The 24,192-nt window shown below is 40.3% G+C and overlaps 1 protein-coding gene across 61 annotated transcripts in view; it reads right to left on the reverse strand.

Annotated features, from left to right (window-relative positions):
- The window catches only part of DLG2 (discs large MAGUK scaffold protein 2), a 2,173,362-nt gene continuing 2,156,638 nt past the window's right edge, over nt 7,469-24,192 (reverse strand). For 58 of the 61 annotated variants that reach the window (NR_165353.1, NM_001351274.2, XM_017017256.3 and 55 more), the window contains 5 exons: nt 24,083-24,184; nt 21,658-21,830; nt 19,165-19,274; nt 14,459-14,550; nt 7,469-12,381 (listed from right to left, as the gene is read on the reverse strand). Coding sequence is in view for 60 of the 61 variants with exons in the window: in NM_001351274.2 (NP_001338203.1) it covers nt 12,275-12,381; nt 14,459-14,550; nt 19,165-19,274; nt 21,658-21,830; nt 24,083-24,184 (584 nt within the window). In the remaining variant the exon portion in view is untranslated. The remainder of the gene's footprint in view (nt 12,382-14,458; nt 14,551-19,164; nt 19,275-21,657; nt 21,831-24,082; nt 24,185-24,192) is intronic. The other 3 variants (NM_001377966.1, NM_001377980.1, NM_001142699.3) reach the window with 2 other exon arrangements.

Genomic DNA, 24,192 nt, shown 5'->3' on the forward strand with positions numbered 1-24,192 from the left:
GGGATCGGGGTGCAGAGATAGAGGTTGGGGCACAGATATAAGTGATCAGGGCACAGAGATAAGGGGTCAGGGCGTGGAAATAAGGCATTGGGGGGTTCTTGCTCCCCCAGAAAAGCAGAGAAGGGGTAGAGACAGGGAGCGAAGGGGTCGGGGGTTCTTTCCCCTCCCCCAGAAAAGCGGGACTTGCCACTAAGGGTGAAGGACCAAGGCAGGCGTCCCTGCGTGGTCAGACACCTCTGAAACGTGGGTGAATAATCAGAGAGGCGTCCCTGCAATGATTAAACACCAAGGGAAGGCTGCCTTCCCAAGTCCGTGACTGGCGCCAGAGTTTTGGGTCCGTGGATAAAGTATGTCTCCTTTGTCTCTACCAGAAAATGAGAGGAATTGGAATTAAGAGAAGGGAGAGATTGAAGGGTGGCACCAAGACGGAAAGGAGAAAGTGGTTGAGGGATAGTGAGAGAGATTGGAGAAGAGAGTAAGAAGAGGCCGCTTACCTGACCTAAAATTGGTGAGATGTTCCTTGGGCTGGTGGGTCTGAGGACCCGAGGTCATAGGTGGATCTTTTTCACGGAGCAAAGAGCAGGAGGACAAGGGATTGATCTCCCAAGGGAGGTCCCCCGATCTGAGTCATGGCACCAAATTTCACTCGTGTCCGTGTGAACAGACCACCAAACAGGCTTTCTGTGAGCAACAAGGCTGTTTATTTCACCTGGGTGTAGGCGGGCTGAGTCTGAAAAGAGAGTCAGTGAAGGGAGATGGGGTGGGGCCATTTTATAAGGTTTGGGTAGGTAAAGGAAAATTACAGTCAAAGGGGGGTTGTTCTCTGATGGGCAGTAGTGGGGGTCACAAGGTACTCAGTGGGGGAGCTTTTGAGCCAGGATGAGCCAGGAGAAGGAATTTCACCAGACAGTGTCATCAGTTAAGGCAGGAACTGGCCATCTGGATGTGTACGTGCAGGTAACAGGGGATATGATGGCTTAGCTTGGACTCAGAGGCCTGACAATTATGTGGAGGTGATAATGCCCACATCACAAAGTTGTAATGGTAAAATGAGATAATACACCTTAAGTTCTGTGCCCAGCACAGAGAAAGTTCTTGGTAACTTCTTTTCATTCCTTTTTCTTCCGCCTCTCTCCCCCTCCCCCATTGTCACATAAGGCTGACACAGTGCTTTTGAGTAGCTTCACTTTGAGAATAGTCCATCCACTCTTAAAAGTCTTCTGTTCCTCCTGTCATCTGACAAGCAAATTCCTGCATTCATACTTGCTGAGAAGTCCTTCCAGATGCTATCATTGGCTTTTGGCAGAGTAACTCATTCCCAATGTGGAGTGTCAGGGCAGGTGACTCAGGTGGTAGGCAGGTGGCTGTCTGCTTGCCCATCAGGCCAGCTTTCTGGCCCTTTCCTAGTAATCACTGCTCTCCAGACCAGAGCCTTCGTTCACTTTCACCAAGCCCGTCTGGCTAGCAGTAAAGGACACTGAACTAGGCAAGCTGAGCCTGAGTGTGAGGCCAGCTCTGCCTCCAGCTGTGCAGTCATAGGGGCATCACTGCTTTCCTGGGCCCTGATTTATTCACCTTTAAAATGGGAAAGTAGCCAGGTGCACTGGCTCAAGCCTGTAATCCCAGCACTTTGGGAGGCTGAGGTGGGTGGATCACCTGAGGTCAGGAGTTCAAGACCAGCTTGGCCAACATGGTGAAACCCTGTCTCTACTGAAAATACAAAAATTAGCCAGGTATGGTGGTGTGTGCCTGTAATCCCAACTACTTGGGAGGCTGAGGCAGAAGAATCACTTGACCCCAGGAGGTGGAGGTTGCCATAAGCTGAGATCCCGCCATTGCAGCCCAGCTTGGGCTACAGAGGGAGACTCTGTCTCCAAAAACAAAATAAAATAAAAAATAAAATAAAATGGGGAAGTAAATGGCCTTGTCTCTTTCAAATGGTTGTCATAAAGATCAGTGACTAACTATGATTATGACAACTGAGACTAGCTGAGTGCTTCCTGTGTAGCATGCAATTTTCATGGGTTTCTCACAACAGCTCTCTGAATGTGAGAGAGGCAGGTGCTGTTGTTAGTGTCACGTTTCAGTGAGAAAATTTGTCCTGGGAGATGTTAAGTCCCTTATACAAGATCACATGACTAGTAAAGAATGGAGTCAGGATTTGAACCCAGGTCTGCTCTTAGGTCAGTGCTGTGACTCATGACATTGTATTGTCGCTTTGTCATCCTTCACATTGCAAGCCAAGGATTGCCTCCTCAGTCTGTACAGTGGAAATAACCAGTCCCGTGTTTAAGTCTATTGATCAAGTATTTTATAGAATTTTGCAACCCACCTCTCCACCTTGGAGTTGTCAGAGATTGGCTGGGTTTTTAAGTTTAAAGATGATGCCACCAAGCTATTTGCTTACTATCAGAGATATTCCTTTTCCTCCTTTTCTGCTATTTGCTTTTTTGTTTTGTTTTGTTTTCATCATTGAAGTTAGTGGCTCTCTTATCAAAAAATATTTCTCTCCAATCTATTTTCTTCATAGTTGATTTAGTTTTGTAAACCATGTGTTGCAGATTTTAACATGCGTGGAATCACTGGGGAATCTTGTGAAAATGCAGAATCTGATTCAGTAGATATGGTTAGGGCCTAAGATTCTGCATTGTAACAAGCTCCAGGTGATACTCATGCCTCTGGTCCCAGATCACATTTAGAGGTGCCCATTCATGGAGACATAGGACTGGGTGATGTTTCTAGTGTTTCAGAGAGCTCTGTGAGCAGTTAACAGAGGGGAAGGGGACATAGAATGTGGGTATAAACGTCTGCAGGCTCCCAAGGTAGGCTGGCACCAAGGCCAAACTCTTGCCCCTGCTCTGTGATGCTCTGTTTCCAATGGAACATAATTACAAAACAGAACTTTCCTGTCCCAGGACACACAGAACATACTTTTGTTGTGCACCACATTATAATGTGATAAGGGAGTCAGGCAAACCAGTCATTAGGGACTGCACTAGAAGTCTCTTCTTGTGGACTTGCTTCAGATTATTGGGTGAAATGCACAACTTCAATAATGGTAGCCCGGGGGTTGTTGCACTATTCAGTCTCATTTCCTTTTACAGTCAGTAACTTATCCCTGTGCATTGATCCCTCACTCCAGGAAAGTGCTGAGCCACATTTCTGACAGTGTTGACCTTTGTCTGAAATGCTGGACAAAATTTCAGGGAGTAAGGTGATTAACTAAAAATGGATTTGGAGATTATCTATGGGTTTCAATGTCAAGATCATCTCTGACACTAAACAACTGAGAAGTTGTTCTGTAAAATACCAAGGCAATTATAGGCTCAATACATCAATTTTTCTCTTTCAACCACCCCTCTTTCTAAGTCTTGTTAAGATGTTTCCTGGGTTGATAAAATAGGAACATACTTACCTCATAAAGTTGAAAGTTGAGTTTAACCTCCCCTTTAGTTCCTATTGCATGTTTTTGATTTAAGCATCCAGGTCAGGAAACTACCCCTTCCAAGGGAATAAAACCCTGCTTATGATTCTAAGTAATGTGTGTAATGCTTGAAATTATATCAGAAAAGAAGGCCTCATTGCACCATTTTGCTTTGAAGCAGATCTTTGATGCATCGAATAGTCTGTGTATTGCAGAGAAAACAGAAACTCTCCATTGCTCTAGTTTCTCCTGTGAGTACCTGGTTTGTCCTTCATCCTGACCAATTACCCAAGTTGTTTCTTGCTTCCTGATAATTCTTGCCACTTGTTAGGAATGGCGGTTCTGGATGACTAACCTCCCCATATCTTCTGCCTACCTTGCCTACCACTCTTTGTTCACCTGGCAAGTTAGTCTGTGCTAACCTGTCATCTTCACCTCTCCCCCAGGGATGGGGTGGGATCCCAACTGTTATTGGTAGACAATTCAAGTGGCCAGTGGGATTGGGTAGGGGTATCAGGAGGCTGACAGATTCAGGAACACCACAGAAGAGACTTAGTTTTGCCATACAGGCTCTTCCAAGGGTATGAGCAAATGAGCAGCTGCACATCTGATTTCTGGATGTCAACGTCACTTGTTTGGAGTGGAGTCTTTATGCACTTACTGGTCTGTTTTAGAGCATCTGTGTTTTAACTATCTTTTTAAAATAGGTTTCTGCTACTAGGTTTACATTCCTTGAAAAGACAGAGAGTGCTCTGAGCATTTGTTATTTCATTTTCTACTTTACCATCTTAATAGATCCTGGCTCCTAGCAAGTGTTTATTGTTTGCTGACCAAATGTGTAAGGAATGATAACTAGATAAATAAATAATTTAAAAAGCCAGCTTTTTGGAAATGTTTTCCTTGTGTGGTAATTTTAATTAAGCATGTTAGTCTTTCTTTGCATGAAATGTTGGGTAAATACTCCCAGTTTTAATGAATTAATTGAACCCAGTTTCATATATGGCACATTTTCTATAAACTTTTTTGTTTGTTTGTTTGAGATGGTGTCTTGCTCTGTCACACAGGCTAGAGTGCAGTGGCACGATCTAGGTTCACTACAGTCTCTGCCTCTCAGGTTCAAGCGATTCTTCTGCCTCAGCCTCCTGGATAGTTGGGATTACAGTTGCACTCCACCTGGCTAATTTTTGTATTTTTAGTAGAGATGGGGTTTTATGATGTTGGCCAGGCTGGTCTTGAATCCAGCCTCTATAAATTTTTTTTGTTTGATTTTTGAGATGAAGTTTTGCTCTTGTTGCCCAGGTTGGGGTGCAATGGTGCCATCTCAGCTCACCACAACCTCCGCCTCCCAGGTTCAAGCAATTCTCCTGCCTCAGCCTCCCAAGTAGCTGGGATTACAGGCATGCAGCACCACACCCAGCTAGTTTTGTATTTTTAGTAGAGACAAGGTTTCTCCATGTTGGTCAGGCTGGTCTCGAACTCCTGACCTCAGGTGATCCACCTGCCTTGGCCTCCCAAAGTGCTGGGATTACAGGCGTGAGCCACCGCGCCGGGCCAGCCTCTATAACTTTTTACTCTGAAGAATTTCAGGTAGTCAAGAGTGTTTATCCAAATGTTGAGGAAAAGGACTGCAGACTAGAAGCCAGATTTGTTGGCTCAAGTAAATTAGGATGAGTGATGTTATAAGAAACCAGTTGGGAAACCAAGTGGAGAGAGTTCCTCACCACAAGGGTTATTCATACCAGAAGGGCCAGATGACGGAGCATGGTGGCATGCACAATTTCTGCTGAAAGGTTACTAATGATATCAAAGACACAGGTGTGGCTTGCAAAAATCCAACAATCCAATTAGGATCCAACCTTTTAGCTTGTTGGTTTCATATTTTTGTTAGAGAAATCAACTGTTCTCTCTGAGGGACTAATTCTGTTACTAAGAAACTGTTCATTGTAATTTGCTATGAAGAGCTATAAGAATTTGAAATTTTTAATGCCTGCTTAAAAGAAAGTATTTTTCTTCCTTTCCTCGTCTTTCAGATTGAAATAGAGTCGATTATGTTTTGCTAGAATGAAGCCTGTTCTGTATCTTTGGCTTATGGTATGGATGTTAGTTTTCTGCTGTTCAAAATTCACACAGCTCATCCTTCTGAAGTCTTGAAGAGGAGTTGTTACCTAATTCAATCGTCTACACAAGACAGGGACCCAGAACTGGAAGGACAGGCCTTAAGCGGGTGGGAGAGAACTAGTGTCTCTCATGGGCCTTGCTTTTTGGGCTTTGATCAGTTTAGACCAGTGAGGTTCTACTGATGCCTTATATTGAGATGTGAAGCATGTTGCAAATCATTTGTCCTTTGAAGTTTACAATTAAGGAGTAATCAAAGCCACACTGAGTCATTTCCATTTGTATTCTAGCCTGTGATGGAGACAGTAGGCACCTAATGTAGCAGGTGCTGAGTCAAGCATGGATACAGCGCCTCTCAGGTGTGCTGCAACAGAGGAAAGGGTCTGACGTCTGGTCTAGCTATGCTTGAGGGACTCCTGGGAGGCTGGGGAAAGATAGCCTGTGTCTTTCATGTCAGCAAGCCAGGGGCTGCGCACTAAGCTCCTACCATAAATCAGAATATCTTTTATTTCCCTTTTGCTATCCCCAGGCTTTAGCGAAGTTTACCCACGTTTTCTAGCTTTGTCCTAAGAGTGCTAAGGGGCATTAGGGACAAGGCCTGGACTTGATGCTTTGGCTGTAACACTAGAGAGGGAAGGGGATCAGTCTAATGATAGCTATGGTGCCTTCTGAGATGTCCCTAAGGGAAAGGTGACAGAGAACAGAAATTGGGGTTATTATCTATAGAACACATCCTCCCTTGACAACTTTAAAGATGACAGGTCTCACTGTGGCTGCCTGTACAGATGTTACCTAGCTTTGTGCCTTGGTGAGGCTTTTAAATTCTGTCACTGGGTGTATGGCCTCAGAGTATCTACAGAGATCACAGGTTCATAACTAGCCCCTCTTAGGTTCAGAGATGTGTCAGCCACTTCTAGCTTTTGAGACTTCTAGCATGATCGTGGTTTAAAAACTGTTTTGCAGACATGAAACAGGACACAGAGAAAAGCTGAATGCTCTTCTAGCTTCTTATGAACACATCCATTATTGAAGTGAATCTGGCTTTGTGTACAGTTGTCACCATTAATATTAAACCAGGTGAGACTGTGCAAATGTTGAAAATTGCATAATTGTCAAAATTTGAGGTCCACACGTCTTGCAGCCTCAGTCAATGTCTTCTTATACCATGTCTGAGAGTCTTTGTTCACTACCCAGCACCAAGGACAGCTTTAGGACACCTGGCAGATTCCTGATGGCCAGGATGGTATGAACAACTAGTCTGGCTTCCCAAATGGCTGATTCAGTTATATGGTAGTTTATCATGAAACAAAGCATAATCCAAAGCAATTGCTTTGATGCAAAATTTCATCTCTTTCATGAGTAGAATTTGTTTTGGTTCTCTAGCTGTGAAACCTGGCTAAATGTCAATATGACAAGGCATGTATTTAACCTGAAGTGAAAAATTTAGAACATTATCTGGCAGATCCAGATTCCCAAACCCAACATTTTTGATATGGTCAAATCTTTGGAGCTCCAGGGTGTATAAGACAATGATACCTCCTCCCCAGTTTATGCCTTTCTTTGCATAATGTTTCAGATAAGAAAAAAATCATTTTTCTGTATCCTTAATATCTTCTGGAATCCCACAGTTTGACACTGGGAAATTGATTTTTCCCCTCACATAGCTGTGAGCATCTTTAAAAATCTATCTTTTAATACATTGTTCACTTTTGGAAAAATCCCGATTAAAAGCAGGCAAGATGGTAACCAAATATTTAAGAATATGCAAAAACAGCACTTTCACTTCCTCTCAGCAGTGCCAATACTTCTCAGGGCATACCCACCCTAATTGCATTTTAGCTCTGGAATCAGAGACAAAATTGATAAAAATAGACATGAGTGATTCTATTCCTTATGAAATAAGACAAATTATGCTTTGGGAGAAAATCATTTGCCATAAAGTATAAAATGTTTTAATATTTATATCTTATAATAAAACCATGACATGTTTATAAACACTCTATCAGGCATTTTTACAATGGGGCCACCCACCGCTGACAACTAGAAACGCAATAAATATGCACAGACACACTGAGTATGAAATATACATCTTGATTTTATAATCGTGTGTGCTTTATTTTTTACACAAATGGAATGGAAGTGTTGAATATTTACACTTAACAGGAGTGTAAGCTGTGCAGTGTCTCTGTAAACTCCAGCCTAGGCAAGGAGTATTCCCACCTCCCTCCCATCCTGTGCTACAGCTCGGTGGAGAAACATCCTGTCAGAGAGAAGCACAAAACTGTCATATTGAAAGGATCTAACGGGTACAGCCTGGTGCACTCAGAAGTTAAGAAACACTTAGGAAACACAAACTCAAAAAGGAGAGAAGAAAAGTCTGCCATCCCATTGGGAGTCAACCTTGCCACTTGGTTGTCTGTCCTCATGAGTTGCTAGGGAGATACTATACTCTTTAGATGATCTTTGTCTAAATTGTCCGCCTGTCTTAGCTTTGTCCTCAGCTGTTACAAGAAACTGCACAGCTGTACAAGAAATGATTTCCAAAGCACAGGTTTCAGTGAGGAAGGATATTTACAGACTTGAGTGTGTGTGTGTGTTTCCAACCACAGTCATTCATACTCAATGTAACGTGTGTACATGGTATACATACCATATATACCATACATACACAGAAGTAAAATGTATATCACAGAATTCTGTAGGGAGTCCCCTGGCAAGTCAGCTGTCACAGGAGGTACTCCACATGCTTCAAGGGAATTGATCTTTTTCCCTCTAGGAGTAACAAATTAATGTGATCAACTTAGGAATTAGCCTGAGTCCTTGGCTTAAATATATTTGTAGGAATTTAGGCAGGACCAAGACAGGAAAGAAGAGATTTCATTTCACCAGCAAGTCCATTCAGTCTCACCAGAGCAATCACCAGCTGAAAAGCAGAGGGGGCTTCACATAAAAATGGGAAAAAGAAAGCTTATGAATGGGAAAAAAATGTCTCTCTCCAAACCAAGGTGATGGCATGGCTTCAATGAGGAGGAAGAGGTTTGCTATCAGAATAATTGGGGCCAGAGTCTGCCTTTATTGAAAGAAAATGTCCTCAGAGCCATGCGGTAGTGCTGGGAGTGGGCTCGCTTAGGAGCAGTGTTCAGGCAGAGGCACTCAGGCGCCGGCAGGGCCCACAGCACATGCATCATCGCTGCCAGGGCAACGGTGCAGGCTGGCTCCGGGAGGCGGGCTGGAGCAGGCTCCAGGTCAGGGCCTCACGCTCAGCTTTACTTTCTGGGCTGAGTAGGTGAAACGGCGACCTAAAGTATTTGTGTCATTAGTCCAGTGCATGGACTTGCTGTCTGAATCAGCCATGAGCCCTTTAGAGGACAGAAAAATCAATACAGGGATGTACGGGAGAAGATGATCAGAGATTTGAGGAGAGGAGAAAGGACAGAAGAGGAATAAGAAGGGCAGAGAAACAGAGACTAAAGGAGAGGTGGACAAAAAGAGAAAGGGAATAGAGAAGGATTATAGGAGAAAGTCAACAACTCAGAGATGGTGGGAAGGAGGAATAGGAAAAGGAGAGGAACAAAAAAAAAAAGAGATGGAATTAGTCGGAAGTAGAAGGAGGAGGAGAGTAAGGAAAAGAATGAGAAAAAAAGTAGAGTCTCGAGCCAGAGGTTGGAGAGTTCTTTCCTGGCTCGGAGTCCTGAAGGGCCGGCAGTAGGATCTAAGACAGCGCACAGAGGCACCCGAGTGCAGCTTTGTGAAGACAGGCTCTTTAAGCAGACAGAGCCAACCCAAGAATTTGGGGCTGGGAAAAAAGGCCTGCAAATAAATAGCCAAGAAATCCCGCAAAAGGCCTGCAAATAAATGGCCGACAATTCTGTGGGAGGAGAGCAAAAAACAAATGCCTCTGCACTTAGCTGACAAATGGAATTTTGATTTTGGTAAAGCTGAGACCCCCGTGGTGCTACACATTGTACCAGAGCATGAAAAATAGCACCAGTTACACGATCTGGCACTTTTCTGAAAGGGCCCAGCATGTGTGAAGGTGACATTGCACCCCCAGCAAGCCTTCAGGTTGGAGAGAGCTCTGGACAAAGTTTGCAGTGTTAGCACCAGTCTGGCCCCAGGCTCCGAGTGCATTTGCACCAGATGTAATCTGGGTAACTTTCATGCCATTTCCATACAAGTCATCAGATTTGCTGCAAAATACACCAGTTCATTGGAGCCATAGAGACATCAACATTGGGAAGTGCAAGACAACACAACAAATGGAGGTGTAAATTCTATTGGAAAAGACCCTCTCACCAATTTGCTTGGTGATTCTTCAAGCAAATATATATGTATCTATATATTTATATAAATCTACATAAAAAAATCAGTGCAAATGCCAATTCTAATCTGAAAGCATCTACACTAGGAAAATAAATAGTTATATTACTACAAAACCAAGGGTTGGTGGTTCAATTTGATTGTACTTAGCCACAGCAACACTAGTAAATGGAAAGCACATCACACGACCCGCGAAAACATCTACTCATTAATGACAGTCTTTTAAATAAATGGTTGCATGCTCAGTTGAGAAACCAAAGAAGTTATCGTGGTGGCCTAAAAATAGAGCTGGGATCAGGAATGGCATTCTGGTGTCAGAAAACTTCTGGGAGCAATATTGATGAAAGTAGGCCTTGACCTGAAACTGGCGAATTGCAGACATGGACATATCTTTAACATTTTGAGCAATCTAAGGAAGTCTCTGGAAATTTAACTTTCATGAGAGGGAGAATGCATTGCTAGCCCTTCCATTGGCAAAGGAAGCCTCAGGACTATGGGAAGATGCATAATTTTGCATTTCTGTTTTGTTTTGGTGACTGTAGCCAGGCAGACAATGATGTTTAGCGTAAGATGAACAATGCCTGTTTTTGGAAAGAGACTCTCATTCTAAGCTCCGATGTTCTTACTGTGAAGAAGCCCCATCACTCTGATGGCTCTATCTCTTGCTCTCCTACCCAGCCTACATGCTGGTTTGCTGCACAGTGTGGCAGAATCCCTGCCAGGTCTGGATGTACCCCAGAAATAAGGCGATGGGGCTTAGTCTGGGCATGCACAGAACCCAGAGTAGAGTGGTTATTATCACTGAAAAGTCTCTCCCCAAACACCATGGGCAAAAGCAATGCTGATGTCGCCATCCACTCTAAAGTGGGAAACCAACTCTTCTAGTTCAGTTTATAGGCTTTGGGAGGTTTCTTTTTTTAAATCATCGTTATTATAATTGTTAAAAAATAAACTTGGTCCAGGTGCAGCTCCAAGAAAGGCAGTTCAGTTGGTTGAGCTCAAAGTCATTAATTGTCTTTCCTTGTGACTCTATCTCTTTGCTCTGTACATAGAAACAAAAAAGTCTGCACCCCCTCACCCCCAACCAGACACTTCTCTTCTCTCTCTTCCTCAAAGAAATAGTGCATCTAGGAACAGATCTCTCATTGGCTCTAGTACCATCTCTGGATGTTACAAAACTCTCAGTTACTCTGTAAAACAAAAAGGTACTAATCCTAATTACTCATTGTTGGCCAAAATGCTAAATGGTCCTTTAAGAATTGTATGTCAGTAACTAGGAACAAAGTTATTCAACTATTTGCATGGCAGGCTCAGGTTATTTAACTAGAGGAAAGCAAAAACTTCCCTTTAGATCATTTGCATAAGTTTGTCTCTGAAAAGCCATCAGCATAAAAAAATGCATTAACCAAATGTCTTCCAAAAATATCCATGAGGGCAACTCATTAAGGGATGTGCTGCATGAGAGTGTATCACTAATGTGGAAGGGAGGTAAGTGAGGAAGAAGTCTTTGTCAGACTTAAAAGGAACTCAGATGCTCTTAACAGATCATTGGCAACAAAAGGGAGAGTGCAACTTTCAGGTCTTGAATTTGATCATCTGCTGATGTTGCATACATTTAGTCTTTCAATATTAGTCTTTACAAAATATTTCACAAAACTTTTTTAACCTATAGAAATTTGTTTCTATACATTTAATATATTTTTATTGTATAAATTATTCTCATCTTTAGTGCCTTCTTTCAGTTTATAAATGGCAAAATAGGCAATCAACAATCATAAAGCTAATCCCAGGTGGAATCCCCTCCTGTCAGTGAGGTTAGTCCTCCATACACTTGCAAATTTTATGAAATTCTTGTCTTTGCAGATGCCAGTCAAAAAACTACACACTTATCCTTCCCTGATAGTATGTCATCTCCAAAGGGATTCCTTTCTTTTTTCCTTCTTTCTTTCATTTGCTTGTTAAGAAATCAAAAGATGTGCATAGTTATAAAATTCAAAGTGTACCAATTACAGATGTGGGTAATGGGAAGGCTGATGAGGTTCGAGTGCTGGCAATTTTTCTTTAAAGCAAAAGACACAGAGAGCTCTGCAGCTAAATCAGCTCTGGACATCTGCTGGGGTGAGGAGGCTCTCATCTCATCTCTTGGGCAGAAAGCCCGTCAGAGGTTCATCCCTACACCTGGCACTTTGAGCAAACCAAAGCCTTCCTTCATACTGCAATGTCTTTTCTGTCCCACCCTTTGGCCCCTCTGTTTCCTTCATGGCTTCATACAGTTTGTGTTGTACATTCGTAAGAATTCACATTGACTGCAAAAACATAAATGCAACAAAAACATAAAAGCCTCCAAGTAGTATGTTATATATATTTTGTTCTTCTAAATGCTCTTCTGTCGTTGTCAGAGGCGCAGTAGCTAATTTATAACTTTTCCTTTGAGGGAATCCAGATGAAAGGCCCAGATTGCTCTTCAATAACAAGCTTGCATTGGTTATATATATCTTCTAAAGTATCTCCTTGGACAATAGCTGTAACAAAAGCAAACACACCCAGAATTAGAAATAATTTCCTGGATGGTGAAGAACAATCATCACTTACACATTGGAGGCTCAAATCAGTAGCAGATGACTCATCAGGAAGCTTCATATCATTTTTCATTAGTAAGAAGAAGCAGAAAATTCATATAAGCAAAGTTACATTCATGATTTTAAGAAATGCTTTCAATGGATATCCTGGATCAGTAACAAATGATTCACAGTCTTTGCACTTTCTACATGTCTGTCTGTAGTACTGGACAATTTATCACTCATCTATTTAACCAATATTTTATGGGTGCCTACTCTGAGCCAGGCACTGAGCTGGGCAATGATCAATTTTCAGACTGAGAGCTCCCTATTTAGAAAAGAAAACTGGCCTTACAGTCTGTATATTTACTTATTTTGGCAGCAGCAGAAATTCAGATATTGTAGACACCGAGGAAATAATGAAGATTTTAGAGGGAAGTTTAGTTAGCCTCCCAACCCTCAAAGCCCTTAATAGGAAAACCCATTAATTCCCCAAATCTCTGGTAACTTGAGATTTTTACCATACAGAGCTATTCATATTGAGAATACCATAAGTCCACTATTTATAAGAAACATAAACAGGAAGAAATATAAACAAACTGCTCAGTTGTGTATCTCCTAAAACACTAAGTCACTTGGAGTAGATTTAAGTACATTTTATTGTCTCATTTGAACAAAAGTTATCTTGTAGAAAGATTTCCAAAACACATCAGTATTATCCATATGACACTAGGTCTTAAAAATAAATTACTACTGAAAGATGATTTAGATATTTAAAAACAATCCTCAGAATATATTATTGTATTGTATACAAAATATAAACCACTGTCAAAATGTACACTTTTGTTTCTCCTACCTGGATGTTCTTTTAGGATGAAACACAGCTCGTATCTTGGTTACTGACAGAAAGATTACTTAATATTACCTGATTCAAGATATTTACAAACTGCTAAGGCACTGACACTTTCTATATTCTGAATAAGGTAAAAAATAAAACATCTAACTTCACATATGGTAATCCAGGAAGAAAGTTCTTGGGTTTTTTTTTTTTTTTTTTTTTTTTTTGAGACAGAATTTCACCCTTGTTGCCCAGGCTGGAGTGCAGTAGCACGATCTCGGCTCACTGCGACCTCCACCTCCTGGGTTCAAGTGATTCTCCTGTCTCAGCCTCCCTAGTAGCTGGGATTACAGGTGCCTGCCACCACACCCAGCTAATTTTTTGTATTTTTAGTAGAGACGGGGGTTTCACTATGTTGGCCAGGCTGGTCTCGAACTCCTGACCTCAGGTGATCCACCCACCTCAGCCTCCCAAAGTGCTGGGATTAGAGGCATAAGCCCAGCTCGAAAGTTCTTGTTTTTAAACCTCCGGGAACCAGGTGTAAGGCAAATTTCACAAAGTCTGATTACTCAGTGTTCTATGAAAGTATATAGGAATACAGAACTCAGAACTCAGGCTCTCCAGAAGAAAACCTCTATTCCCCTTCATGTTTCCAAGGAAACATTTAAAAAGAAAAAAAAAGCAGTTTTGGTTGAGACTTGACACAGTGAACTGAAACATGAGGAAGTTTTAAGCATCTTGTTCAGGTGCTGCTGATAGGGACACTGATGAAAGCTCATGGAGCTGGGGACGGACGCCTCCAAGCTTCTTCTCAAGAGTAACTGCTTTGGACACTGACCATTTTGAGCCCTAAAATTTTGTTTTTCAAGTTTTCTGATGATATCAGGGAGATAGTTTAATGAGGTAGCAATGCCTCAAATCCTTTTCATGGTAGGAGATAGCTCAGGGGTATCTCCTGCCCATGGTTTTGGGTAGGGCTGGTGGGAACCTGGGAGCTGGCTGCAGCTGAACTCTCAGGAGAACCCAGGGTTTTACATCAAAATGGGTGAAGCAGAGGGATACTCCTTGTATATGAAACAGATATTAGGGATTCTCAACAGGAAGGTTTTAGGGCACAAGTACACCAGGCCCAGAACCCTCTCTGTGCCAAATGTCAGACAATTTATCCCCTTTCTCACACTACCAGGGTAAAAGTGAACTTACCTGTAAAATATTCTCCAAATTCTTGTTCTAGCTTAATTGCTCGATCATAGGTTTTCTTGGCTTGTTCCTCTGTTAGACGCTTATTCATCTCCCTGGGAAAATGAGGGTTTGTATTAGAACATAAAGGGAATATTCCAAATCCTAAAAAATTAAAATGTATGGCAAAAATAAATCCTACAGAAAACATAGTGTAATCTTAGCAACAGGTTTTTAGTCTTCATTCAGGACTCCTCTGTGCTGGAATAATTTCAGCAACAAGGACTCACGGCCAGAAAGCTCATTCTCTCAAAGGGCAGTCTCTTGGTCCCACATTGGATTGAAGCCAAATATGTCTCCTTATGATTTGTAGTCACTGGTCCCTGTTCTGCAGGGACCTAATATCCTCCATGGTAGGCCCTAGGATATTTAAGTAAAGTGCTTAAGTGTGTCTTGAGGCTTCTACTTCTTCAGAATAAACTGTCCTATTGCTTCATCTATCCCCTCATTGGATGTGATTTCTAAATCTGAACTTTCCTGACCACCCTTTCTTGGAGTTTGTTCTAGTGTATCTCAGACTTTCTGAAATGTGAGAGTAGAATGGTAGTTATCAGAGACTGGGAAGGGAAGGCAGGAGGGGAGATGAAGAGAAGCTGGTTAAGGGGTATAAAATGCAGTTATAGGAATATTTCAAAATAGCTAGAAGAGAAGAACTGTAATGTTCCCAAAACATTTCTGGTGATGGATATTCCAGTTACCCTGATTTGATCATTACACATTGTATACAGGTATTAAAATATGACATATACTCCAAAAATTTGTACAACTATTATATATAAATTTTTTTTAAAAGGCTCAAGGATAAATCAAGGTGGGAGAGAAATGAAAAATTCTTGAATTCTCTCTAAAACCTAATCTATTGATTCTTAACTACTGGCAGCTTTATCTTTCCGGGTCTTCCAGGTGTTAAAAAAAAAATGTCCTGCCAAATGCAATTTGGTTGGCTGATCAGGATGCATCACAGGTGCATGTAGAATTTCTGAAATCATTACCGTCTTGCATGCTGCTTAGGAAGCCAGAGATTTGGGTCTGGAACATCTGGCCTTAGTCAATTCCTTTCGAGAGCAAGTAACAGAGGCAAGAAGGGATGTGCTTAAGGCTGTGTATTTAACGAAGAGTAATCTGGGGTAAGAACTCAAGGTTTTGGTTTTTTAAACCAATTTTCAGTTAGACTTCCTATTATACCAAGACTTGATATCTTTCAAAAGAGGCTATTTGGAAAAAAAAAAAACAATATATTGACATTAGACATTAATGGCTGAAATACAAAGTAGTGAGAATTTCCTGAACTCTTGTTGCTAAACTCATCTTGTCCTGAGGGGTGTTATGTATAATTTTTCTTCCAAACAGTCTCAGCTGTACATGCTGTGAATGGATGTTACTCGTGGGTGGAGAAGATGCTGGGCTAAACCAAGGGACACTCTTCAGAGAAAGATAAATATTTGCTCCAGATGTCAAGAAATCATGTGGGCCAGGCACAGTGGTTCACGTCTGTAATCCCAACACCTTGGGAGGCTGAGGCAGGTGGATCACTTGTGCTCAGGAGTTCAAGACCAGCCTGGGCAACAGGGTGAAACCCTGTCTCCACAAAAAAAATACAAACATTAGCTGGGTATGGTGGCACATACCTTTAGTCCCAGCTACTTGGGAGGCTGAGGTGGGAACATGGCTTGAGCCCACGAGGTCATGACTGCAGTGAGCCATGATGGCACCACTACACTCCAGCTTGGGCTGGACAGAGCAAGACCCTGTCTCAAAGAAAGAAATCACATAGTTCTGGATCATCTTCGACCTGCCTTCCAAGAATTCTGTCTTCTCTGAATTCCCTTTTTACTGATTACAGCAATGACTTAGTTTAGGTTTTTATTCTCTGACCTGTGAATTTATTTTGTCTCCTTGACTGATCAGTAATTCTTTGAGGGCGAAGACCATGGCTTGTTTGTCAGCATGTGGCATGGAGACTGATTCAACATTTATTTGTTGAATGAATAGATGAGTAAATGAATGAATGAATGAACAAATGGGGAGCTAGATAAACATAATTATAAGATAGTTGAAGACAGAAGTAAACACAGAGCATCATGGGAGCAGGAAGGTAAAAGCAGATTGGAAGTGGCAGGGTGAAGGGAGATTGCCACATGGAAAGGGAACAGAAGTCAGATGGTGGCACAATATAAAAAGAACATCCCTTTCATACACATCTTTGATTTTATGCTCCTCTGAAGAGTCAGCTATGTATGTGCTAATAAGCTCTGTGATTTGATGTGGATGATGCACTTGAGAAATAATGTGTGTGATGATGTATCAATGTGTAAATGTGACAGCTGTCATGCTTTTGTTCCGGCTGACCTAGCATTCACTACTCTCTGGGGAATGGGCAATTCATGGCAGCTTTGCTCCTGGAGTAAAAGCCTTGGAAAAGAGTGAACTGTAAAGTAAACATCCAACCTTTAGTAGGTAGATTGCATTGGTCTGAATGTCACCATCACTGCACTTGAGACCCATGAATATGGCTGCAGCAAATTATGTCAGATTCACTGTCCTTATTGTGAAGTCCAGCCTTTAGTACATTTAACTTTCCTTGGTGATAAGTGGCTGTGACAGTGCCCTAAGGCATAACTAAAATAAGTCATCTCATAGTTGTGGAAGGCAGTAGACCTTCTCCTATGGAATGCCAGATGGGACTGTCTCCTAATATTGCACCGGACCAAATGTGCCACTGCTGTCGTTCCCTCAGGCCTCATTCCCCTGGGAAGCCATTTATCCCACTGAGTGTTTACAATATGAAGATTTATTTTTCTATTTCTGAAACAGGCCTTTAAGATGGCTGTTCCCAGGAAGTAAGGACTATTTTTCTTCTCATTAATGTTAGCATTACTTATATTTATGAGGCTCTTGACAGATTATAAATCAATTTTACATCATGAAATTTGTACTTGCTTAATTCACTTTGTGCAATGCCCGACATAGTATCCTATACAAGGAGAAATTTAATACATGCTATTGGGGATGATAATATTAAGAATCATTATTTTATCATTAGTACATATTTTTCCATGTGCCAGCCATGGGAAAAACTCTTTATATTATAATTTAATACCTAAATTCATGGGGCTGAAGGTACTGTCAGTGACCTCCCGATCTTACTTTTTTTATCCTGGTAAGAATCCTTGTCCATTTTTTATATATGGGACTATATTCTGCTTTCAAGGTACATCTCTGGCTATTTCCCCAGAGCTCAACTATGTATTTAACTTAATTCTCTCAGGCTGCCACTCCAGCTGCTGCAGTTTGCTTTGCTTCTTTGTCTTCAGAGGAGACACAGAACAGTTAATATCCTCTGTAAGCAATTGCTTTCACCACTGGGATTAAATAATTTCTGTTTCTTCGGTCCTTCCATAAACATTATTTTCCAGTACTCTGTGGTTCACTCCTGAACCCTGTCAAACACTATGGTCTTGAGGCCCAGATGAAGGCAAAATTTGATCAAGGCCCTCATGACAGACACATTGGCATTATCTCTTGCACTGTCATGGAAGAGGTACTGTTTATGTGTTTTATAATGATAAAATAGTTTTATTCCTTTATAATGAAGTAATTTTATATCTTTTACAATAATAATAGGTATTATTTATTGAGTACTTACCATATGCCAAAGAGTACATGAACAGCTTTACTAAATTCCTAATCTTGTTATTTAACCTTTATACTAGCTCTATGAGGTATTTATTAGTATGCCTCGTTTCGAGGTGAGGAGCTAAATCTTAGAAAGGTCAAGCAATTTGCCCAAGGTTACTTAACTGATCAGTGGCAAAGTAAAGAACCAAATCTTGCCTGATCAATTTTCAGGTCCCTGCTGGTAGCCCCTTTTCTGGTTACCTCTATCTACTGTAGCTTCACCTTTGTGAATGGGAGTTGCCTATACTGACTTTACAGTCAGATCGTGAATGTCTGCCCACTTTGTTTAATGATTCTTGAAAGAAGTTATTTCACAAGTCCTTTGGAGGGGAAAAAAAAAGAAAAAACCCTGAGTGCACAGGTATGAAGCTACTGGTTTAAGTTACAGATGTTTTACTGCCACGCCACTAAGAAAACTCTATTAAGAACGATGTTCTATGTATGTAAAGTTTTAATTAAGGAACATCAGAATTCTATTAGAGAACCAAGGAAAATGCCAATGAAAAAAGTCTCAAACGTTGTCTGCTCTCTCTATAAAAAATCTACACATTTAAAAAGATTTACTTATAGACCTGCCTCAGAAGTATGAGACAATTAAAAAATGATTGCTTCCTATCATTTGGAAAACAAAAGCAAACCAAAAAACCAAATCAAGCCAAGCTATCCTCAAAACAACAACAACAAAACCTCAAAAACTAACAAAGAAAACAATCCGTGAAGTAAAACAATAAAAATCAGGAAACATTATTGAAGATGTTTTAAGGAATTACTATTATTGTTAAAATGAGGGATGTTAAAAAAAGAAATCACTGACATTATGTTTCTAGTTGTTTAAAAGAACTTTGATATATCTTCAAAAAAAGAGAATGCTGAAAAATCAACAATGGCATTTCCCATTTGTAAGCATTCCCAGCAAAATCCTGTTAGTAATTTTCAGTATAATACAGAACAGGGAGTCAGTTGGATGAAGGCCTCCAATGCCCTCTACTCACATAAGAGGTTCCAGAGACCTGGGTTTTATGAAGATGGCAATGGGATAGAGCTGGGCAACTTGTAACCGCTTGATAGCATTTCCTGATACATCAAGTATACAGTGTTTGCCCTGGTAGAAAGAGAAGAAAAATATGAAGTTAATATAGGAAGCATGGCCATAATCCAACAAAAGGAAACTAATGTATGTAGGTTTTAGAGGAAGGTAGGGGATGCTGGATTTCTAAAGTCAGAAAAAGATCACTGCAAAGAGTAAATAAAAATCGATATATAGGGTCATCATTGAGTGTTTACAATAACTAATACTAACTAGCCCCTTACAAAGTGTCTGCTACTGGACTGGACATTTTACATATGTTCTCTCAGTTAAATACCTGATGTAACACACAAAGATGACATGCAGCCGTATGTTATGTGACTGAGTCTGTTCTCATGAAGTTTAAAAACCATCTCTGAACACAATTGTCAGAAGAAATTCCCAAATCTCTGAGGTAGGTATTATCAGCTGCATTTTACAGAAGACTCACACTAACTAACTTGCCCAATAGTTTAGTGCTAGGAGCATGCAAACCCAAGTCTGGAGCACTAACAGAATTGTTGGTTGGAAAAAATAGACACCTCATTGTCTCACCCTGCCCAACATTCGGTGTGGAAGATTGAGAATAATGTGAATTTTTCCAAGTACTTGTACATATCCTGTCTGCAAGGTACTCAGTCTAGTGGAGGGCAGACACAAAAATGGTTAACTTAAACATATGGTTGGTTGGGTGCAGTGGCTCATGGCTGTAATCCTAGCACTCTAGGAGGCCGAGGCGGGTGGATCACCTGAGATCAGGAGTTCGAGACCAGCCTGACCAAAATGGTGAGACCCTGTCTCTGCTAAAAATCCAAAAAGTTCACCAGGCATGGTGGTGGGCACCTGTAATCCCAGCTACTTGAGAGGCTGAGGCAGGAGAATCACTTGAACCCAGGAGGTGGAGGTTGCAGTGAGCTGAGACCGTGCCATGGCATTCCAGCCTGGGCAATAAGAGTGAAATGCCATCTCAAAAAAAATAAAAACTATATGTATATATATATATATATATATATATATATATATATATATACACACACACATATAAAATATATAATTAAAACATATATATATATATATATATAAATTAAATGCGGGTTAAATGCCAAGAGAGAAAGGCTTGCATGAGGTATGTAAATTTCTTGTTTGTTAACAAATAAAAATGCTATTACATTATAGCACACCTCATTTAACTTGGCTTCCACCACAATGAGTGCTCAGAGCAAGCAGCTGCTTTATAAAGCATTTCTGGATATGCAGATACATTTGCCACATCATATTCTACCTCCTGGAGAGAAATGTCCTCATTACCCTGAGGCTAGAATAACTTTATGCAAGAAGAGAAAAAAGGCACTTTATGCAGATAGGAACAATACTAAATCAATAATAAGGGCTAAAATCTCATCTATAATGTTCACATGAAAATGAATACAGTCCAGTGAATACTTGAAGTCTTCTTATCTGAGAAACCCACTAAGATGGTTCAAGCCGTTATTACTTAGGTAATAGATTTCAAGTTTTCTATCTGTGAAGTGCAGCAGCCACATAACATGTATAAATGCTGGTTGATTATTCACCAGTCAGAACATTTCAAGTTAACAACATGAACAAAGAGGAAAATAGGTGCAATTATCCAGGACAGTTTGACTAGAACCAGTATTCATTTAGTTGATAGAACTGAACTTTTGAGAGGGAGGAAAATAGATGCAACTTCTTAGTGTATTCTTAGATAGACATCAAAATTACTTAATTCTTTAGCGGTACATTGAGAAAGGTCATGGCAAATCAAATCAACCCAACAAATATCTTCTCCTATGATACTGGTTCTCTGTGTTCACAGGAAATAGGATCCCTCTGTAGGCAGATTGTGTAGCCACACCCAGGTGCCTTCCTATGGTACCCTCTCTTGAACATTCTTCTCTTTTCCATGCCCCTGAAGTTACCAGCAAAAAGATAATAGCAGCATCTACACCTCCTCTAAGCTAGAACTTCTGCGAGCAAAAGGCTGGGCAGCCCTTCTCATCTATCTTCTCTTCTACCATGAGGATGTCAAGTTTTCAGAGAGAGAGAAAAAAAATAACTTCCTCTAACAAAATAATTCAGGAATGCTATCCCCTTGGTTTACAACTAAAGTAGTAAACCTGCCTTAATAAAATCAAGGTTGTGTATTGGGGCCTCAGATAGTGAGTCAAAGACAAAGCCCTCTTCCTACTTTTTCCAAGTCAGTGAGAATACTTTATTGAAATTAGAACAAAGATTAATGACATTGCTCTAAGGTGATTCTCTGCTTGGATGTTTTAAATTATTAAATCAAAATTTACAATTGCAATCAAGAAAGAGTAATGACCAAAAAAAAAAAAAAATGCAGTTTGCAACCTAGAAACCTTCTTCAGGGGAGGTGTAAGAAGATTGGTGAACATACTCTTTCTGCTACAAATCTCACAGACTGCACACTGGTTCCATATAAATTGTCATTGTACTGGCCGGCTTCTATAAACTTGTGCTCTTGGATATCTTTCTCCATTTGTTCTCTGGAAATGACAAAGTGATAGTCTCTGCCATCCACCTCGTAGTCTCGCTTTGGCCTCGTAGTATCTTTATAAAACAAAAAATGATAAAATTAAGGTGCATTTATACCCATAAACTTGCTTTACACCTATATTCTCCACCACATCCTCAACATTGATATGTAGAAATATGTAGTATGAAGAAATATGACATAGTAACAGGTACTAGTCTTACCCTCCCACCATAAGCAACTAAAAAACTGGACAAAATATATGAAACAACTGTTTTCAGATATCAGACAACAGGAAGTACAGGGCTGTAATCTTTGAGAAAAGAGAAACATATGAGAGAGCATTCACCCCACCTCTCTACCTAGAGGCCATTTCCAAATGGAGAGTTTAGACATCACATGGTGCTAGAAGACACGGGAGTTGAGTCAGAACCCATGGAGATCCCAGAAAGGCCACATTTTAAAAGGTTACTCTAGACTTACTCTACACCCATCTTCACAAAGTCTAAAACCATGTCACAAATGGAAGAAGCTGCTGTGTCAGTAAATTATCACCTGTCAGAACAAAAACTTAACATTCTATAAAGGACCATAAAATTCAGACTCTCAACATATATAAAATAAGATAATCACAGTTAGATAGGACTAAAAATCAGCAACTCTAACCATTTCACCTAAATTTTTTGGTAAGAAGAGAAGGGGAAAGCAATCTAGCAATATGAATAAAAGCTGTTAAAATATTTTTAATCTTTGACTCACTTATTTTTTCCTAGAAATATGTTTTTAAAAATGATCAAAACTTCAGATACAGATTTATCCTTAAAGATATTCATTATATTATTTTATAAGTAATAATTATAACACAATTACGATGATATTTTTGTCACAATTCATAATAGTGAAAAATAGGGAAAAACCAAAATGTTCATAAAGAATGATTAATTGGGATATAATAATCATTTGAAATAGTTATATAAAATTTTAAATAAGCAAAAAAATCATCACAGAGAAAAAATGCATGCATAGAAAGAATAGATGGAAATGTACAAAAATATTAACAATGATGTTATCTCTGGGTATTGTGTGGGATTTTGTATACTTCTAATTTTCTCGTTTAACTTTCTTTTTAGTGTTTTTGAAGTTTTGTACAATGAACATCTATTGACTATCACAAAATGGTTCTATTAATTCAAAAAAGAGAGAATATGCAAGGTGAAAGGGAAAGCAGAAAGAATGCTTAAGTACCTTCTGTTTTCTTTCTCTCAAAAGTGGAGGAGCAAGCTGGAAGCTTGCTGTAAACGACCTGGAGTTTCATTTGCTCCTTCCTGTCTGAAGACTTTCTCAGGATATGTTCTATGGCAGGATCTCTTCCCAGAGCCCTTGCTGGGAATTGTTTCATGAGATACAGCAATCATCCTAGTCTTTTGGCCATGTACTGGACACATACAATTCCTGCTATTCTTAAGTATCTCATGTAAAATTTGCAGTACTGGAATGTTAGAGACACTTGAAAGCATCAGGCTTAAAACACATAGAATGGAAGAGAAATATTTGTTGGTATCAGATGTAAGAGCTCCATTATCTAATAAATTAAAATTTCCTGATGGACCTGTCTACATACGTAGAAGGTCTGCATGCATTTCTGTTTGACAGAGTCGGGGTGTAGACGGGGTGAATGAGTGGAGAAAGTATGGTAGGGGTGGGGAGGGGAAGAGGCAGAGCAGTTAGAATCTAATAAGGCTACAATCAGAGGGACCAGAAGCCTGATGATAATCTATAATGAGAAGAAAGTAGTTTAAAGTCTGTAATGGCCTAGAGGTCAAATTGAAGTGTTACACATTTTCTTGTCTTCACCCTCCCTAAACCTGGGACTGTCAACATGGGAAAGCCTATTGGGTTTTGGGATTGACATATGGCCCTAAGTCATCCTGAGAGGATTTTAATATATGGCTTTGTTTCCGATCTCTTCCATCCTATAAAAAATAATGTTTCAGTGGCATTTTGATCAATCTATGAAAACATACTGATGCCTATCATAAATCCTATGCTGTTTTAAATGGTTGGGGGCCACAAAAATTCATCCTGCCTTTTAAGGGGCTACAATCAGTTTAGAGAAAACATTATTATTTTTATTAAATACAGAATGACACACGGCAGCATAAATGAAAAGTGTTAGGCAAATAAATTAAATAAGGCACTCAGCTAATCGGAAATGGTTGGTATTTGAATTACTGGAGAGACTACTGGAGGATGGAATTACATTTTACCATCTCATAAAGAAATCCAAGCTCTTTTTGTTTTTCCTAGAGGAAAGAAAAATGACACTTACGAGGCACACAGGAGCCAAATTTATCAGGGAATTCAGATATCAAGTCGTCATTGATCCGATCCTTCATGGGCCCCAGGATAATCACCGGCCGGGTGTAGTTTACTGCAGAA

This window comes from Homo sapiens, chromosome 11, assembly GCF_000001405.40.
Source record: "Homo sapiens chromosome 11, GRCh38.p14 Primary Assembly".
Taxonomy (NCBI): Eukaryota; Metazoa; Chordata; class Mammalia; order Primates; family Hominidae; genus Homo; species Homo sapiens.